General features: G+C 47.9%; 1 protein-coding gene across 18 annotated transcripts in view, besides 2 other annotated features; it reads right to left on the reverse strand.

The window, feature by feature from the left end:
* Window positions 1-20,759, reverse strand: part of MBP (myelin basic protein) — a 154,876-nt gene that overhangs the window by 46,948 nt on the left and 87,169 nt on the right. The gene's annotated exons all lie outside the window — the stretch shown is intronic.
* Window positions 10,667-11,866: an enhancer, noted in NCBI's record as "BRD4-independent group 4 enhancer chr18:74748403-74749602 (GRCh37/hg19 assembly coordinates)". NCBI's record gives its function as "activates an origin of replication core promoter dependent on BRD2, P300/CBP, MED14 and CDK7 cofactors, and independent of BRD4, by STARR-seq in HCT116 cells {active_cell/tissue: HCT116}" and the evidence as "EXISTENCE:reporter gene assay evidence [ECO:0000049][PMID:35650434]".
* Window positions 19,602-20,124: an enhancer, noted in NCBI's record as "H3K4me1 hESC enhancer chr18:74757338-74757860 (GRCh37/hg19 assembly coordinates)". NCBI's record gives its function as "activates a minimal SCP1, AML or CMV promoter by ChIP-STARR-seq in naive H9 embryonic stem cells {active_cell/tissue: H9 hESC(naive)}" and the evidence as "EXISTENCE:reporter gene assay evidence [ECO:0000049][PMID:30033119]".

Here is a 20,759-nt window from a genome sequence, read left to right on the forward strand (position 1 = left end):
ACAAGTAACTTCCATCAAAACCAGCACGTGTGAGAGACAAACATCTGGGTTCCCAGGCACACCCCACACCCTGAGTAAACCAGGACGGACAGGCCGAGGTTCCGCTGCTGCCTTTCTGGCACACGCAGGGGAGCAGTGGGCAGCGGGTTACTCCCTCTCCGAAAAACCGTCCTTCTCCCCATGCCCTGCGGCACCGTGAGTGCATCGCTCATCCCGCTCGCTGTGCTCCCAGCCTGTGCCATGGAACCTGCTCAACTGCGGAGCCTGGGATGAGGCTGAGCCTGTTGCTCTTCCTGTTGAGTTTGGTTTCGACCACCCTGCATGAATCTTTGTGCTTCCAATGCTTCTGGTCAGGGGGCCCTGCCGCCTCGTTTCAGGGACGGTGCCTGCAGGCCGCTGTCTGTGCCTGAACTCAGCGCTTTTCACGCTGGCTTGACCCACGGAGGGCGGCTGTCAGCCGCAACCGGAGGCAGAGCGCGGGCGTTCTGAGGCTATTGGATGAGGCTCGCTGGTGATACCTTCTGGGTTTGCAACTTTGTTCTAAAGCCAGGGGTTTTCAGGCCAACAGAAATGCATTTAGTTAGTAATCCAGAGCATGCCATAGGAAAACATAACGAATAAAACTAGAATAAAACATAACGCAGAAATCACCTTCTCCACGAAGGCAATCACACTACCCAATTTAACTATAACACGGTGGACTTCTGTGGATGAGATGATACTATCCTTCTTTTCACTACAATTAATTAAATGTTGTCCCCTTTTATTAGAGATCTCAAAACATTAGACCTAAGGGATCATCCAAATATAATTTCACTAGGGAATTTTAATAAAATGTCCAAGCAGATCTTAAATGGGGAGGATGGCTTCAGGCTGGAAGTTTGAGACAACCCTGAGCAACGCAGCAAGACCTTGTCTTTACAAAAAAAATTAAAAATTAGCTGGGATGGTCTCATGTACCTGTAGTCCCAGCTCCTCAGGAGGCTGAGGTGGGAGGATCACTTAAGCCCAGGAAGTTGAGGCTGCAGTCAGCTATTATCAAGCCACTGCACTCCAGCATGGGCAACAGAGCAAGACCCCGTCTCTAAATAAATACATAATTTTTTTCTGTCAAAATATCTGGTGGACATCACGTCCAAGCAGATCTTAAATGAGACAGAAGGCAATGAAAATTACCATCCCTCAGGTAACTTGAGGGTTTCCCAACAATAAGCTCTAAGACATGCAGTGGAGGCTTAGCCTGCCGTGAGTCGCCACTGTTGGCTTATTTTATGTATTTGCATCGTTCCCATCTAAATGGGGATTCCCAGACTTCATAGGCCAGTAAAATAGGAAAAGTTAGGGATGAAAATGACAGGCCTTTGTCTCGCCACCTCAAAACTCCCAAGTTTTTATTTTGCCAGCTAAGACATTAAAAAAAAAGCAGACAACTACCATGTACTGGGAATATAATTTCACAAAAGAATTTTGGAATCAGTAGAATGGGAAGAGCCTGTCCTCAGGATGAAAGGCTATGGAATACACTTAGCTTCATTAAAGTGACATTGTAGGGTTGCTTTTTGATCTGCTGCAAAGACCCTGTATCTGCCTGCACACGCCTGCCCGCACACGCCTGCTGAGGCCCACCGAGCAGAGGCTGCAACGTCTAGCCCTGCTGGTGTCCCCCTGGGCAGGGGCAGGGCCAGGGACAGCATCAGAGAGCACCAGGTCTCCGACAGATAAGACATTCAGACCCAGCTCCCCGCCCTCGGCACACATTCCAGACCCCACAGGCCCCTTGCATACACATAGAGCTCACAACTCTCATTTGGCCACAGACAACTAAAAACTTCCCCACAGAGGGGCTTTTGGTAACCACTTTTCTGTATATTTTCAACATGACGTCCACCAGATATTTTGACAGAAAAAAATTATTTATTTATTTAGAGATGGGGTCTTGCTCAGTTGCCCATGCTGGAGTGCAGTGGCTTGATAATAGCTGACTGCAGCCTCAACTTCCTGGGCTTAAGTGATCCTCCCACCTCAGCCTCCTGAGGAGCTGTGACTACAGGTACATGAGACCATCGCAGCCAATTTTTAATTTTTTTTTGTAAAGACAAGGTCTTGCTGTGTTGCTCAGGGTTGTCTCAAACTTCCAGCCTCAAGCCATCCTCCTGTCTTGGCTTCCCAAGTAGCTGGCATGAGCCACTGCCCCAGCTAATTTTTATTTATTTATTTATTTATTTTTTTATTGATCATTCTTGGGTGTTTCTTGCAGAGGGGGATTTGGCAGGGTCATAGGACAATAGTGGAGGGAAGGTCAGCAGATAAACAAGTGAACAAAGGTCTCTGGTTTTCCTAGGCAGAGGACCCTGCGGCCTTCCGCAGTGTTTGTGTCCCTGGGTACTTAAGATTAGGGAGTGGTGATGACTCTTAACGAGCATGCTGCCTTCAAGCATCTGTTTAACAAAGCACATCTTGCACCGCCCTTAATCCATTTAACCCTGAGTGGACACAGCACATGTTTCAGAGAGCACAGGGTTGGGGGTAAGGTCACCGATCAACAGGATCCCAAGGCAGAAGAATTTTTCTTAGTACAGAACAAAATGAAAAGTCTCCCATGTCTACCTCTTTCTACACAGACACGGCAACCATCCGATTTCTCAATCTTTTCCCCACCTTTCCCCCCTTTCTATTCCACAAAACCGCCATTGTCATCATGGCCCGTTCTCAATGAGCTGTTGGGTACACCTCCCAGACGGGGTGGTGGCCGGGCAGAGGGGCTCCTCACTTCCCAGTAGGGGCGGCCGGGCAGAGGCGCCCCTCACCTCCCGGACGGGGCGGCTGGCCGGGCGGGGGGCTGACCCCCCCCCACCTCCCTCCCGGACGGGGCAGCTGGCTGGGCAGAGGGGCTCCTCACTTCCCAGTAGGGGCGGCCGGGCAGAGGCGCCCCTCACCTCCCGGACGGGGCGGCTGGCCAGGCGGGGGGCTGATCCCCCCACCTCCCTCCCGGACGGGGTGGCTGCTGGGCGGAGGGACTCCTGACTTCTCAGACGGGGCGGCCGGGCAGAGACGCTCCTCACTTCCCAGATGTGATGGCGGCCGGGCAGAGGCGCTCCTCACTTCCCAGATGGGATGGCGGCCGGGCAGAGACTCTCCTCACTTTCCAGACTGGGCAGCCAGGCAGAGGGGCTCCATCCCAGACAATGGGCGGCCAGGCAGAGACGCTCCTCACTTCCCAGACGGGGTGGCGGCCGGGCAGAGGCTGCAATCTCGGCACTTTGGGAGGCCAAGGCAGGCGGCTGGGAGGTGGAGGTTGTAGCGAGCCGAGATCTCGCCACTGCACCCCAGCCTGGGCACCATTGAGCACTGAGTGAACGAGACTCCGTCTGCAATCCCGGCACCTCGGGAGGCCGAGGCTGGCGGATCACTCGCGGTTAGGAGCTGGAGACCAGCCCGGCCAACACAGCGAAACCCCGGCTCCACCAAAAAAATACGAAAACCAGTCAGGCGTGGCGGCGCGCGCCTGCAATCGCAGGCACTCGGCAGGCTGAGGCAGGAGAATCAGGCAGGGGGGTTGCAGTGAGCCGAGATGGCAGCAGTACAGTCCAGCTTCGGCTCGGCATCAGAGGGAGACCGTGGAAAGAGAGGGAGAGGGAGACCGTGGGGAGAGGGAGAGGGAGGGGGAGGGGGAGGGGGAGGGGGAGAGGGACCCCAGCTAATTTTTTAAACTTTTTGCAGAGATGGGGTCTTGCCACGTTTCCCAGACTTGTCTCAAACTCCAGGTCTCAAGCAATCCTTCTGCCTTGGCCTCCCAAAGTGCTGGGATGACAGGCATGAGACATTGTGCCCATCCCTGATTTATTTCAGAGATCAACATAATAATAGACTCACTCGTTCTCCACATTTTTACCTTGGCTTTAAAAGTAGTATGTTTTGGTAGCGCATCTAGTTAGGTTTAAAGCCCAGAGTACAATTTTGGTTAGTTTTGAGTGTTCTATGTTCCCATAAAATGACCACACACACACACACAAACACACACACACACACGCAGTCACCACTGACCTGATTTGACAGATCTGTCCTCTACCACCAGGAAATTTAGCCCGGAAACTAATAATTTTCCTGGCTCAAAAATCCAGGTTTCCAGCTTACCGTCCACAGATATCCTTCTTGTAGGTCTGACCCACACAGGGAACCTAGACACAATCTTAGGGGCCTCACAGGGCCCCACTCCCCAGCCACCAAAATGCACTTCCAGATCATCTTTTTAGGGCCTAGAGTCCACACGATTGCCTAAGGAAATTTTGGGATCTATCACATTAAAATACAAGCAACTGGAAAGGAGAGTCCCCAGAGGCTCAGGCAATGGTTAGGAGGCTGGGAATCAGGCAATGGTTAGGAGGCTGGGAATCAGACAATGGTTAGGAGGCTGGGAATGGCTCCTGGAAATATTACTGCTTCTTCCTTTATTTTCCATGATTGGCAATCCAGCTATAAGGCCATACAGTATCCGAGGCAGAAAGTACTGGAAGGAGACCCAAGAGCCCATGGTACTATTCACGTAGGGACTCTGTGTGGAAAGAGCTCTGAACAGGGCAGCCACTTCTGAGGGCTGACGAGGCCTCCACACAGGGACGGGAAGGGACAGGAAGGGACGGGAAGCTTTGGTTACTTTTGTCTTAAATGCACAATGGCAGAATTCATTGGAGCAGGACGGCCCTGTGGTACCGGTACATGGAACAATTTTCTCTGACAGTGATTTGCAATCTGGTTTTCTAGCCCACAGTTGCTTTAGGAAGTATTTTCCAAAAATAAATCCATATATCTAAATACACCAAAATGTGTTATTTTCCATAATTGCTCAAATTAATCCTTAGCTGCTAACTAAAAACAGCAGCATGGAACAGGTCAAGGAAACTATTATTGTGGAATTCACACAATGGAAAAATGTTTAATTATTTGGTTTGTGATTTGGTGTTTTTAAAGCTATGCTTTTTTAAACATACACATTTCTCCCATATCCTTTTATCAGACGGTATCTTCAAGGTGACTGAGGCTACCGGGGCCACTGTGTGATCTAGATTCCTGTAACTGACCCTGTTTCAGACCTTCTCTTATGGGGACCAGTTGTCACTGCAAAATAAGAGTCTGCATAGCTAAGTTCAAGTCAAGTCCTTCGGGGGCAACCTGGTATCTGTGGAAGAGGGAATTCTGAAGTCACAAAACCATTCTTTATGGTCAAGAAACTCTAAAGCCATACAGACACTGTTTTAGAGAAATAAAGAAAAGTTATCCAATTCTTCAGCCATTGCAAAAAAAAAAAATCCTATTTTCAGAAAATCAAAAGAAGGTGATACTGTTTCCTCTAGCCCAGGAAAAACCATATAAAAACTCCACACTAAACTGAAATAAGATAATACAACTTTCCTCAAGTGGCCTTTCTAAATTTTAATTCTCAATTTGCTTCTAATGGTGGTGAGACGTTTTGGAGTTGTTACAATTGGCTTTTTACCTAAAGCAGTTTGGCAGATGCCAGACAGACCCCCGAGGCTGTGAGCATGCCCGCCCTGCTGCCCACCCTCTCACACCCCGTGTGGGCCACCACCTGCCCTGCCAGCCTCTGCTCAGAGCCTCCACCCTCACCTGCAGACACCTCCAATTCCCCTACAAGCGCAGATTTCAGGAACACGTGAAGAAAGCTAAGAAAAAGGAGGCAGGGAGTATTCCATTTGTTTAGACCTGAAGCCGGTCAGGTTCTCATTTTTGTGGATGTTTTGACGCAAGTAATTCACTATCTGGACACAATTTCCAGGGTACTGTTCTGTAAGTGAGCTCCTTGATGTCTTTAACACTGGGTGTGCTGACATATCTAATAGACGAACATCTTGTTGCATTTTACATGCTAAGCTGCAGAAGAAACAATGCACCAGGGCCTATTTGCAGACCATCAGCCTCTTGGCACGAGGAGGGCATTGCCCGTGCAGCTCTGCTGGCTCTAATGGGCTCCTGGTCCGTGCCTCTCCATTTGGCCACCTTGGACAGGCTGTACACTGGCTGCAGAGTGGGCCGCAGGTGACCTCTCTCATGGATGGGGAGAGGCTTGCAGGCTGTGCCCAGTGGGAGCCAGGGCTTTTGTCGAGCACTCAGCTCCAGCTCCTGTCCAGCAGATAGATAGTCTGCTCCCTGCCTGTGAAGAGTCGGACAGAAACTTTGAGCGATGGCAACGACAACAAGTGTGTTTTCTGGGGGTGGAGGTGAGGAGAGCTTGGGGCTAAAGGTGCAGAACCGAGCTTTAAGCTGTGGCCCCTTGTCCCACTGGAGAAGGCGCCGGGGGCACGCAGGGCCTCCACTCTCCTGGCCCCTCTCAAGGAGGCCGAGCCCTGCAGAGACCATGGAATTTGGAAGTGTGGGCCAGGGCCAAAGAGGACGCTCCTTGTTTGTGGAATACTTGTGTCACGGCGCGCTGTGCTTGGGGTCACCAGGGAGGGCAAAGGAAACAAAAAGGGCCATGGTGTGGCCTGTGGATTTGCGATGGCAGAAATTCTGCATCTATGAGAGGCATGTGGCTGCCTGCCAGGCTTCCCGCAGAGATTTCTTGAAAACTTTCCCACAAACGAGGCTCATCAACCCACCCATCTCACACCAATGCCTCCTTTGTGTGCCCAGAACATATAGTTTTTATTTGCTCCACATAGCTCACCCCTGGCACCTCCCACGGCAGGGAAGAGGCCACAGGAGAGGCAGCCGTGTGCTAGGGGAGCCTCAGGAGGGTGGGGACGGGGTCGGCGAGGCGCGGCCATGCGCTGGCCAGTCACCCCTGTGAGGCTGCACACACTGAGCTCAGGTTCCTTCCTCCTTCAGCGCGGTGACAGTCCACATGCCCAGCTTCCCTAACACGGTTGGCGTAGAGATAAGAGATTCTTAAAGAGCCCAATATTCATGTAGATTCGGTTAGGTTGTGCAGCCTTTGGTGAATTTCACAGTGACTTGTACCAACACTGGACAGACCCAGAGCAGTCATAAGAAAGTGGCATCACAGGTAGTACTAGGAATTGCTTCTCAGGGGGAGCAAAGAACTTAAAAAAATTATTCCTAGCTCTTGGCCAATTTGACATAGTGGCAGCTCAAAACACACTAGTTGAACTGAGTTGAATTTGGACTTTTAGAAAAGGTCTGGAGGCCAATATGGCTGACTTTGTTTAATTTTTTTATTTTTATTTTTTGAGGCTGAGTCTCACTCTGTGACCCAGGCTGGAGTGCGGAGGCATGATCTCAGCTCACTGTAGCCTCCACCTCCCAGGTTCAAGTGATTCTCCTGCCTCAGCCTCCTGAGTAGCTAGGATTACAGGTGTGCACCACCACGTCCAGATAATTTTTGTACTTTTAGTAGAGATGGGGTTTTGCCACATTGGCCAGGTTGGTTTTGAACTCCTGGGCTGAAGTCATCTGCTTGCCTTGGCCTCCCAAAGTGCTGGAGTTACAGGTATGAGCCACTCCACCCAGCCAAACATGGCTGACTTTGATTCTTGGTTCTATCATCTACTGTGTGACCTTGAGCACATAATTTAATCTCTTTAAGGCTTGGTTGCCTCATTTGCAAAACTGATATAACAGCTGGAGCTCCCCCATGCATTGCTCTGATGAGCGCTTGCAGTGCATGTCATAAAATGTCCTTGGTCTTGGTGCACAATTGGGGCTTTTGTTGTTGCTGCTATCAAAATGTTTCTAAAACTACTCTGGAAACACCTTGTGCACAGGAGTAAGGCCCTATACAGTTTTCATCCTTCCATCCACCTCCCATCCATCATTTACCCGTCCACATATCCATCCATCCATCCATGCATTCACTCACCCATCTACTAGTCCACTCATCTATTCGTCCACCCATCTACCCATGTATCTACTCATCCATCCATATATCAATTTATCCATCTATCCACCCATCCATTCACCCAGCATCTGTCCATCCATTTATCTACCTATGCATCAATCCACCCATCCATCCATCCATCCATCCATCCATCCATCCATCCACCCACTCACCCATCCACACACCCACCCACATATCCATTTATCCATCCATCCATCCATCCACATATCCATTTATCCATCCATCCACACATCCACCCATCTGATACTCACATAGTGCCTTGAGTTAGGCACAGTTCTAAGGATGCTCCCACTAATCCTCACCCTGACAGAGTCCCGCTCCCCACTGCACCCCTCATCCGCAGTATGGTGGAGCCTATCTATGATGAAGTGTCTCTTGTGATTGTTACCTAATGGGGCAAAAAAAAAAAAAAAAAAAAAAAAGATTACCTGGGGCCCTCAGACCTAATCACAGGAGCCTTTAGGCAGGGTTTTCTCCACTGGTGGCAGAAGTGGAAGTCAGAGAGATTCTAGGCTGAGAAGGATTTGAAGCGCCAGGGATGCCTTGAAGACAGAGGGGACCATGTGCATGTCCAGAGAGTGGCCCCTGGGACCTGAGAGTGACTCCTGCCACCACTAGCAAGGATGGGGGAAGTGGGCCCATTCTACAGTCTACAGAGCTGAATTCTACTGGCAACTGGGTGAGCTGGGGAGTGGGTTCCCTCCCAGAGCCTCTAAGAAGAGCCTGGCCGCTGACTCCTTAATGCTAGGCCTGGAGACCGGGAGTGCAGACTCCAGTTGAGCCTGACCCAGAGACCCAGAGTACAGACCCCAGTTGAGCCTGCCCTGACTTTTGACCTACAAAACTTTGAGCTCATAAACCTGTTTCAAGCTGTAAAATATGTGGTGATTTGCTACACGGCAATAGAAAAACAGATGCCTGCCTCCCACAGTGGAGCCTCCCGCTGCCTCTGGGAGCCAGGGCTGCAGGTACACAGGTGGACAGAACAGTCCCTGCCCTCATTTTGCTTGTGGATTAGAAGACGGAAATTAATAAAATCCAGTGGTGCGTTTTATGCCCTCCCTGATCGCTCCTTCGGAGATTCTCTTGCTTTGCGACCATTGGCTCACCCACCTGGTGCAGCCCCTGCCTCTCCTTGGTGGGCTCCTGGGACTTCAGCTTCGGTGGGCGACGTCCTCTTTGTACCATTTGCTCCAGGGCCCCCGTGCACCATTATCTCAGCCCTCTTTATTAGCTTTTCTCCAACTGTGTTTCCTGAAGCCCGGGTGTGCTGCATGATGTCAAAAGCTGGTCTTTGAAAAAGCACTGCTCCGTGGCTAAACTGCTAGGAAAGCACTTCTGTATTTCAAGACTCCTCAGGGGCTTCAATGTGCGGAGCCGGAGGATGCAGCATGCCCCAAGTTTACCTTCCATGGAAGCACAGCTCCCCGGGCACCCAGCAGCCCTCTGAGAACAGGCTCCGGGGCACAGGCTGTGTGATGCTGCTGAAACTTTGCCCAGGTTTCCTCTGCTTCTCCAGGTGGCTGCTTCTTACGCATTCCGTACTCATACTCATTCTAAGCTGGTGATCAACCCATGGCTTTCACAGTAACTGGGACCCACCTGTGTCCCGGGACGTACACACTGCATTCTAAGTGTCTCTTTGCCCACATATCACCACTGTACGCCCTTTGGAATAGTTTTTCTCTATGATTGGAATGTTGTGTGCCCAGTAGATGTCCACTAAATATTTCTGAGTAAAGAAGGCTGTTAAATTTTACCAATCTATCCTGTTTTTCTCTTTCTCAGTTCAAAATGTGCTTCAGTCAAAGATGCGAACCATCTGTCCACGTCTCCATTAGGAATCAGCCTTTGGCTGAGGAAGGCCAGTGCTCTCCCTGTGCTAGGATGAGAAACGTGCATCACTCATGCAGAGCTGTCTGTGAACTGTCTTGACCAGCAACAACACAGCCCCTGCAGACGACGCTAATGCAATGCCGTGACACCACACGTCACGCTGCAGGTGAAGGGGGGGGGACCATGAGGCTGACTTATTTTCATACAAATTAAATACACTGCTGGAGCTAAGTCTATAATCCTATGTTTCTGAGAAAAAATACTTTACACAAAGCAAATGGTCATCATATTGAGGGAGGGGCCTTTCAGAACAAACACGTTGCCAGGAAAGACTCTCCTGCAAACATTACTGCTTAAGAATTCTTTCAAACTCAAGGGACTTTAAAGCTTTTTTGGGTAAGAAAACACTCCTTAAAATCATTCTGCTGACTGAGAACTTACTAGGACAGGCTCCTAGGAAATGCAGAGGCGTTTTTCTCATAGAGTAAATAGAACCGTCAGTTCTTGGGTCAAATTGGAGGAAAAGTGAAAGGAAGAGAAGATGTGACTCATGTCATGGTCACATTTTGGAGACAGAGCTGAGCAAGTGCTGGTCACGTTTTGGAGGACTGAGCTGAGCAAGTGCTGGTCACATTTTGGAGGACTGAGCTGAGCAAGTGCTGGTCACATTTTGGAGGACTGAGCTGAGCAAGTGCTGGTCACATTTTGGAGACTGAGCTGAGCAAGTGCTGGTCACATTTTGGAGACAGAGCTGAGCAAGTGCTGGTCACATTTTGGAGGACTGAGCTGAGCAAGTGCTGGTCACATTTTGGAGGACTGAGCTGAGCAAGTGCTGGTCACATTTTGGAGACTGAGCTGAGCAAGTGCTGGTCACATTTTGGAGACAGAACTGAGCAAGTGCTGCTCACGTTTCAGAGGACTGAGCTGAGCAAGTGCTGGTCACATTTTGGAGGACTGAGCTGAGCAAGTGCTGGTCACATTTTGGAGGACTGAGCTGAGCAAGTGCTGGTCACATTTTGGAGACTGAGCTGAGCAAGTGCTGGTCACATTTTGGAGGACTGAGCTGAGCAAGTGCTGGTCACATTTTGGAGGACTGAGCTGAGCAAGTGCTGGTCACATTTTGGAGACTGAGCTGAGCAAGTGCTGGTCACATTTTGGAGACAGCTGAGCAAGTGCTGGTCACGTTTCAGAGGACTGAGCTGAGCAAGTGCTGGTCACATTTTGGAGGACTGAGCTGAGCAAGTGCTGGTCACATTTTGGAGACTGAGCTGAGCAAGTGCTGGTCACATTTTGGAGACAGAGCTGAGCAAGTGCTGCTCACGTTTTGGAGGACTGAGCTGAGCAAGTGCTGGTCACATTTTGGAGGACTGAGCTGAGCAAGTGCTGGTCACGTTTTGGAGACTGAGCTGAGCAAGTGCTGGTCACATTTTGGAGACTGAGCTGAGCAAGTGCTGGTCACATTTTGGAGACTGAGCTGAGCAAGTGCTGGTCACGTTTTGGAGGACTGAGCTGAGCAAGTGCTGGTCACATTTTGGAGGACTGAGCTGAGTAAGTGCTGGTCACATTTTGGAGACAGAGCTGAGTAAGTGCTGGTCACATTTTGGAGACAGAGCTGAGCAAGTGCTGGTCACATTTTGGAGACAGAGCTGAGCAAGTGCTGATCACATTTTGGAGACAGAGCTGAGCAAGTGCTGGTCACGTTTTGGAGACAGAGCTGAGCAAGTGCTGGTCACGTTTTGGAGACTGAGCTGAGCAAGTGCTGGTCACATTTTGGAGACTGAGCTGAGCAAGTGCTGGTCACGTTTCGGAGGACTGAGCTGAGCAAGTGCTGGTCACATTTTGGAGACAGAGCTGAGCAAGTGCTGGTCACATTTTGGAGGACTGAGCTGAGCAAGCGGCCAGACTTTATCCTCCAGTGAGGTCGGGAGTATGTCCAGGTTTGGGGACAGAGACTGGCCAGAGCCACAGAGAGGTGGCTGGAGGGGCTGTTTTTAGGGCATTCTCAGCATTGCCAGCAGCTCTCCTCTTGAAGGTCTCTGAGCAGGATCTGGGGGATGATTCCGGAGGGCTGTCCAGGGAAGGTGGCAGAAATGAATCCAGAGTGGAGAGTTCCAACTTCCAAGCTGACCAGTTTTGTGACTGAGCAGGTAATTAAAACTTAGTATTTACCAGCCTTCGCCTTTTCTCTTCCATCCTCTGGCTTGCAGGATGAGAGGAGGAGGAAGCGTGCTCAGCCTCTCTGATGAAGCTGCTCTGTGCAGCCGAGGCGCCTGGAGTACATCGCTGCTGGGTGACAGCAGGACGGTACCAAGTGCTGGTGACAGAGACGTGGCCACATGCAGAAAGCAGGCGACGGGCCTCCGAACAGGCCTCCCGAGGTCTGCAGCGTGTTCACCAATTATACAGAAATAATCATTTTGAAATAAATCACACTGCTGCCTTTGCAGGTTATTTCCATGCAAATGCAGAGTCGCAGTAGGGAATGATAAGGCAATCGATATTAAAAATCCAACCAAGACAGCAAATCAGATGCTCAAAAGGGTTCCTGTCAATAATGACTTCAGTCAGTTCCAGGGCCCAAGATTTAACAGCCAGCGACTACTAAGATAGAAGACTTCTCAATGAATCTGCAAAGGGATCAATACACTGAAAGACGAATCACATCCACATGCGAGCCGCATAGAAATTAAGAATTTGTGCCAGAAACCTTAGCTTCAAGGGATGGGGAACAACAGTTCAGTTTAAAAGAAAAGAAACATGTTGGCAAATAACAGAAGATGAGGGCAAGTTCTGCAATAATTCAGATGCATAACAAGGACTGGCCACAGTGTGAACTGGCAGCCCTGGGTTCCAGGTTGCAAAGACCTTTCTGATGCACTTTCATATTTGGTCCTCTGCCATACATAGAGTGTATGTTACTAACCCAAGTTTACACAACAGGGACCCAGAAGTAGTGGCCCTTACTCAACAGCACGCTGGCAGTAGAAAGGCAAACCCTTTGTTTGACATCATATTTGGTGTTTCTTTGCTATCATGCCGTAACTGGGTCCTGGGAATGACAGGAGCCCAAGCTTGCAGACCTGTGACTATGTTTGTCCCTGTCTCTCCTACATTTCCAGCACCTAACCCAGGGCTTGGCATCAAGTACTTGCTATGTATGGGTGCATATATGCATATGCATGTCTGTGCATGTATGTTTATATATGTATGGACATGTGCATATATATATGTATGCATATATGTACACATGTACGCATATCACTTTCTTGATGCAAGAATTACTCATCAATTAATATGATGTGTGCTCTTGTTAGCTTTTTATGTAATATTTTAAAACATAAGATATTTTAAGAGTGGCCAGAGTTTTTCATTTGTATTCTGTACTGGGCAGAACAACACGATATCACTGGTTAGTATGGAGGTTTGAATAATCAGTGAGAGGCGTCTTCAAACTATGCCTCGGGGCCAAATCTGGCCCATATGTTTTTGTACATCTCGAAAGGTGAGAATATTTTTTTACCTTCTAAATGGTTAAAAAAGAAAAATAGTATTTTGTGACACATGAAAGACATAGGCCATTCAATTTCCAGTGTCCATAAGGGTTCACTGAAACACAGTCACACTCATTTGCTGATGAAATTGTCTCGGCTGCTTTTGTGCACTGATGGCAGGTGCACAAGCAGAGGCTCCACAGAGACTGCGTAGCCTGCAAAACCTAAAATATATACTGTCTGGCCCTTTATGGAGAAAGCTTGCTGACTTCTGTGATCTATAAAATAATTTAAAGTTCTAAGAACAGGCAGGGGTGACTAGTTGGTGCTGCCCTGATGGGATAGAGTGCTGACAGTTAACGCAACACAACTCAGAAGTCAGATTTTTGTGAGCCTCTAGGTGTATGAAGCCAGGGTGAGAGACTATTTGCACTGTTGAAGCTCTGAGGCTAGAGGGGTAAGGTGGAGTTAAAGTATGCATTTGGTTTTAATTTCATAAATGAAATGGATGAGAATTATTTTAAAACCAGAAGATGAATGTAAGGTGATGGAGGAAGTCAGCCCTCTGGGATAATTTATGTTTAATTCATACCCAAGGGCCACCCTAGAACACAGCAGGCATGCAGGGGAGGGTGAACAGCACCCCACATGCCAGGGGACAGAGGTCAGGGGAGTGTGAACAGCATGAGCAGCCTGACCTCATCTCTGCTTCCTGCCAGAAGAAAGTTGTTTCTTAGACAAAAACATTCTGAAATCAGGTAGGAGCTGTGAATCAAGTGGTAGGAAGGAAGAACAGGATTTGTGATCATTTATCACTGAGAAGCTAGAGGAAAATGGGGAACAGAAGGGAAACGCAGGGGTGGATGCCCAGCCCCTGTCCGGTCACCCGAATACAGTTCTTACAACTGACACCCTCGACAGCCAGGACCTCTGAGTCAGGGAATGCTGGTGCGGCCGGCTCTACAGCATGACTCTACAGCATGACTGCGCATGCACTTGGTTTTCATTGTTCGTAGAGTAGGAAAATTACTCTGGTGATTGAGGACTTTATTGGTACAAAATCACATAGAAATTATAAAGCCACAGTTACCTAAACGAATATGCACCTGCCTTGACACCCACAAGTGTCTCATACTTCTTTAAGAACCAAATTTTAGTCTCTTCTCATATTATCTTTACTTTTTTCTTCCCTTCCAATTCTAAAATATGTTTGGTAAATGATCAAATACAAGTTTGTTTAGAAAGAATGGTCCATCCTCTTCAAGGAGAACTACAAACCACTGCTCAATGAAATAAAAGAGGATACAAACAAATGGAAGAACATTCCATGCTCATGGGTAGGAAGAATCAATATCGTGAAAATGGCCATACTGCTCAAGGTAATTTATAGATTCAATGCCATCCCCATCAAGCTACCAATGACTTTCTTCACAGAATTGGAAAAAACTACTTTAAAGTTCATATGGAACCAAAAAAGAGCCCGCATTGCCAAGTCAATCCTAGGCCAAAAGAACAAAGCTGGAGGCATCATGCTACCTGACTTCAAACTATACTACAAGGCTACAGTAACCAAAACAGCATGGTACTGGTACCACAACAGATATGTAGACCAATGGAACAGAACAGAGCCCTCAGAAATAATGCCGCGTATCTACAACTATCTGATCTTTCACAAACCTGACAAAAACAAGAAATGGGGAAAGGATTCCCTATTTAATAAATGGTGCTGGGAAAACTGGCTAGCCATATGTAGAAAGCTGAAATTGGATCCCTTCCTTACACCTTATACAAAAATTAATTCAAGATGGATTAAAGACTTACATGTTAGACCTAAAACCATAAAATTCCTAGAAGAAAACCTAGGCAATACCATTGAGGACATAGGCATGGGCAAGGACTTCATGTCTAAAACACCAAAAGCAATGGCAACAAAAGCCAAAACTGACAAATGGGATCTAATTAAACTAAAGAGCTTCTGCACAGCAAAAGAAACTACCATCAGAGTGAACAGGCAACCTACAGAATGGGAGAAGATTTTTGCAATCTACTCATCTGAGAAAGGGCTAGTATCCAGAATCTACAATGAACTCAAACAAATTTACAAGAAAAAAACAACCCCATCAAAAAATGGGCAAAGGATATGAACAGACACTTCTCAAAAGAAGACATTTATGCAGCCAAGAGACACATGAAAAAATGCTCATCATCACTGGTCATCAGAGAAATGCAAATCAAAACCACAATGAGATACCATCTCACACCAGTTAGAATGGTGATCATTAAAAACTCAGGAAACAACAGGTGCTGGAGAGGATGTGGAGAAATAGGAACACTTTTACACTGTTGGTGGGACTGTAAACTAGTTCAACCATTGTGGAAGTCAGTGTGGCGATTCCTCAGGGATCTAGAACTAGAAATGCCATTTGACCCAGCCATCCCATTACTGGGTATATACCCAAAGGATTATAAAACATGCTGCTATAAAGACACATGCACACCTATGTTTATTGTGGCACTATTCACAATAGCAAAGACTTGGAACCAACCCGAATGTCCAACAATGATAGACTGGATGAAGAAAATGTGGCACATATACACCATGGAATACTATGCAGCCATAAAAAATGATGAGTTCATGTCCTTTGTGGGGACATGGATGAAGCTGGAAACCATCATTCTCAGCAAACTATCACAAGCACAAAAAACCAAACACCGCGTGTTCTCACTCATAGGTGGGAATTGAACAATGAGAACACATGGACACAGGAAGGGGAACATCACACACTGGGACCTGTTGTGGGGTGGGGGGAGGGGGGAGGGATAGCATTAGGAGATATACCTAATGTTAAACGACGAGTTACTGGGTGCAGCACACCAACATGGCACATGTATACATATGTAACAAACCTGCACGTTGTGCACATGTACCCTAAGACTTAAAGTATAATTAAAAAAAAAAAAGAATGGTCCATAAAAGACCTGCAGGAACCCCCAGGAGATTAGTGCCACAGACCCCGCATCATCGATTTGTCACCAGTGAAAAGAGGCGCACTTTCTAGTCATCACAAGAAACAAGTCCCACCTGGAGCTCTCCAACACAGAAATCAAGGAAAACCATGAATTCACAATAAACTGGAAAGAACTCTCATTTTCTCTGACCTTTTTTGGAAGTTTTGCTGCTGAATACATGCATAGCCTGTATTAAGAAGCGAGGGCAAGGGAGGTGTGCAGGAAGTGGCATGCTCTCTTATCCTTTCAGACAAAGGCACGTGTTCTGAAAACCTGGAAAACCTCCTGTTCGGTCTCCCCGGGGGACCTGACTCTCAGTCTCCCCAGGGGATCTGACTCTCAGCCCTGGGCACCACGCTTTGAGCCCATGGCGTGTCCCACTCTGATTGGCACCCTTTCTCTTAGCTGAAACAGAGTGTCAGGCTTAACTTTCACACTTCCAAAAACATTTGCATGATTTTGTAAATATCCAGAGAATACTTTTATTATTTCTTATCTGAAAACTCTAGTGAGAAACCATAACCATTAATACGTATTCTGTATTGCGGGATAGACATGACCCCCAGCTTACCACGGGAAAAATAGCAGATACATTTCCCACTGGGCATTTTGTAAGGGAGAGAGTTATTTTAGGTCTTTTCTTGGGGACAGTTGCAGAGCTGTACGCAGCACTTACTGTCCCTGGAGGTCGCAGGAACAATGGTGTCAAATGTCTAGCACAGCGGCCGGGCCAGGGCCTCACACAATGTCTGTTTTTCAGAAACGGCATCCAACACCCAGCAAGCGCCTGCGCAGTGCCTGCCCGGTACCAGCTCGTGTTAGCTACTATTTTTTAAGGATAAAAATAACTTAAAAGCTCTTCAAGTGAGGAACTATTCAGTAAAATACTTTTAAAAAGCCTCAGGCAAGAACATGATTTTCCAGATTAGGAGAAGGTGATATAATAATTAGTCAAATGGGAAGAAAGGCGTTCCAAGATATCATTTATCAAAATGGCCTTGGATAACTCTCTTCAACCTCTTTGGTGCTGAGCTACTTCTAGATATACATAGTTTTAGAAAAGAATGCATACTAACATTAACGTTTTGAGAAAATTTATCATGATCACAGAATCAGATATTGCTTATATTTTATAGGGCCTATCAGAATGAAGAAACTGAAATATTTCCCATCTATGCATCTAGAGGAGGTAGAGACTTCTAAAGGTTCGTTCATGAAAATTCTAACTTAATCACAATGGGCACTTACAATAATCTTTCACCTTTTTTTGCGTGAACCTTGAATAAGTTGGTAATTAAAAAAATTATCATACGTAGAAAGTCAACATCTCCATGTCATGAAAATAAATTAATAAACAGTTCTTCAAAATTGAAATACGATTGTCTCTTTAAATCTCACTGTAACATTTTTCTGTTTTTATCGCAGGGACAACATGGCAGAGATTCCTGTAAGTCTTGGGTTATTTCTGAGTGCTGGTTATCGTGGCATCTGAAAATGTAAATAAGTGATGTACCCTGTGGGGTAGCTCTGCTGCAGGCACCCCGGGGACCTGCTGGTGACCCTGCCCTTCTCCTGCTGCGATCATCCCAGGCCAGCGTGACACTCAGCAGCGTGGACGTCTCTCTGCAAACGCCCAAATGCAGTGTATGAAATGTCATCCCTAGAAATGGCTTCATTTGGGATAAAGCTTTGAACTTGCGTGCGTGCCCCGCACCCCGTGGCGGACTGAGTCACTGCTTTGCTGTTGCGGCGTGGTGAGTAAAACTTTCCCAGGGGAGCCGGAGTTGAGTGAGAAAGGGATGCAGGACACGCAGGAGCTGACACATCTCTATGGATTTAAGTCGCTGTTTCCACAAATGCTACTCACATGCCCACACGTGTAGGGCAGGACTGTCACGCGTCCACTCTGCTCAGCTTTCCAGGCCGGATCTGGTCCCAGCCATTCTACCTGACCCAGACTCCCCGCACCCCTGCCATTCCCCCAGCTGCCGTCCTGTGTCTCCTGATTTCTGCGTTTTTGATCCTGAGGCTCTCTGCCTCTCTGCCTCCTCCCTGGAGGCCGTGCAAATCCTGTTCTCCTTCCAGCGGTGAGTTCCTCCTGCTGACCACCTCCCCCGATGCCCTCCACGCTGCACACTGGGCTGGTCTGCAGAGGTCGAATGCACTCCCTGGTGACTTACACATCTCACAAGTGCCCTCCATCACCTGCTTGTGAACTCCTGACCACAGCAGCCTACTCCATGTCCCCCTGTGGATGCTGCAATGCCCAGCACCACACTGGTGGCTCAAAGACTGCATGCCTGAGACGGGGTCCAAACCCCTCTTCAACTGTCCTCCAAGCTTCAGGTCCACCGTGACCTCCCCCAACTCTGCTGCAGCTGCCGTGGTGCCAGCCCCCTGCCCCTCTCCTCCACCTCCATAGATCAGGCTTCAGTGTCTGGGGACCTGGGGACTGCTGTCCTCCTTCCCAGCATGAAGTTCTACTGCAAGGGCCACTCTCCCTGTACAGGCCTTCCTGACCCCTCGTCCCTGGAAAGCCCTCTCCAGGGCCCTCGGCCTCGCTGTCTCACATCACTCGCCTCCCTACCCCACCTCCCTCCTCGCACCTGGGACGCAGGTGCCCTCCGGTCACACCCTTCCATCCCGTGTGGTGCTGAGCCCCTCACACACACGAGGGGCCCCGGAATCACCTGCCACGTGAATAAACAAAGTCAGATCTGAAATGCTTAAAAGCAAATTAAACTTAACTCATAAAAGGAGAAGAAAAATGTTCATTTAGAAAAGTTGTATCTGTTTTCTTTCCAAATAAATTTACTTGTAGGAAACAGAAATGTCTGTTCTCTTAACAACAATTGTGAGGATGACTGTAAGGTTGTTGTCTGTTGTATCCTGTGTGTAAGTGTGTGTGACTGTGTGAGTGTGTAAGAAAATGTGAGTCTGTGAGAGAACATGAGTGTGTGTGTGTAAGTGTGGTGTGTGAGTGTGGAGTGTGTGAGTGTTCAAGATTCCCTACATAACGGGATACACACAGATGTACTGATAAGCGGATAGATACGATCTTGATGTATGATGATGGAGGCTGGTTTCTCTAAGTAATCAGCCTACATGTCTGGGTTTAATCTGCTTATTCTTTGCCATTAGAAAAGGGACATTATGTTGGTTGGAGAAAACTGGTGACAAGTGGTAAACAGAGTAGCTGCTGACAACAGCAAGTGGACAGAGGTCTCTCTGATCACCATGTAAATGTTACAGCCCACCCGTTAATGCACAACTGGGTGTTAAACCAACTGACCTGCTGCCGGCAGCACCTGCCGGCATCAGGTCAGGGTCTCTGGAGCCCGGCTGCCAGTAAAGACACTTGCATGCATCTCCGAATTGACCCGCTGCAGCAGCACCTGCCTGCACCAGGTCAGGGCCTCTGGAGCCTGGCTGCCAGCAGAGACATTTGCATGCATCTCTGAACTGACCCGCTGCAGCGGCACCTGCCTGCACCAGGTCAGGGTCTCTGGAGCCTGGCTGCCAGCAGAGACATTTGCATGTGTCTCCGACAATGTCCTAAGGAAGGCACCTGCACTGCCAACACCGACTTCTGCTGCAAATTCTGAAAACCCTCGAGGTTAGATTGTTAGCCAGGAGTGCTCAGAATATTGAAATAAATGGACTGTGACAAAATTCCACACTGTTCTGTAATTTCCATCTTCTGTAGCAAAGCCATTTCCAAAGTTGAAAAATTACTATTGTGAATGTAATCTTTCATTTTTATTAGAAACAGCACCGATTAACAGTGAAATTACTTAAATCTTAGCATGTAGGCAGCACAGAAAAAAGGAGACCAAAACCTCCACGCAACTGACATCCTGGAAAGTGGATGGTGCCTTTTGTCCTGCGGGAGTGTTTCCTAGCACAGCCGCGAGGTGAGTATTGGGCACTAATGCAGGTTTTAGAAATCCAGCTACAAGACTGTGGCCCAGCTCCATGGCAAACATGTCGATGGATGTGACATTTGTTTTCTGGAAGACACCAGGAGGGAGAGCTTCATTCATGTAATATTATATGAACTAGAAACTGAATATATAACATACTTAATAATCTAGATATTCAAATTGCTGGATCAAACTTTGTCTATTAACTACAGACATGAATGTTGGTATTTATGTAGCTGTTAAAATGTTGCATAGTTTTACTCCTTGGTAACATTAAAACCTATAGAGACTTCACGTCCTGAGAGTGTCAGAGATGTTGGCTAGATGAGGCTATTACTCTGCCTATTCTAGAACATTCTCAGGCACGGAAGCTTACTCCCGCATTAGCAAGATACCCAGTTTTGTCAGATATTTGTGCTTTAGAACCCTGGCCCACTTTTCTTCCCACTTTAAGTAGCTATTACCTGATACACAAACAACTTGCTCCCCGGAAGGGAAATCCACTGGCATGGTTCATCCACGGCATGAAGACAGTTAGGCTGAGGCACAGGGAGGGTGTGTTGGGCCTGGTTCCTCAAGCACTGGTTGGGCATTTGTGTGGATTGCTGCCTCCTCAACCACTGCCTC

Source organism: Homo sapiens, chromosome 18 (genome assembly GCF_000001405.40).
Source record: "Homo sapiens chromosome 18, GRCh38.p14 Primary Assembly".
Lineage (NCBI taxonomy): Eukaryota > Metazoa > Chordata > Mammalia > Primates > Hominidae > Homo > Homo sapiens.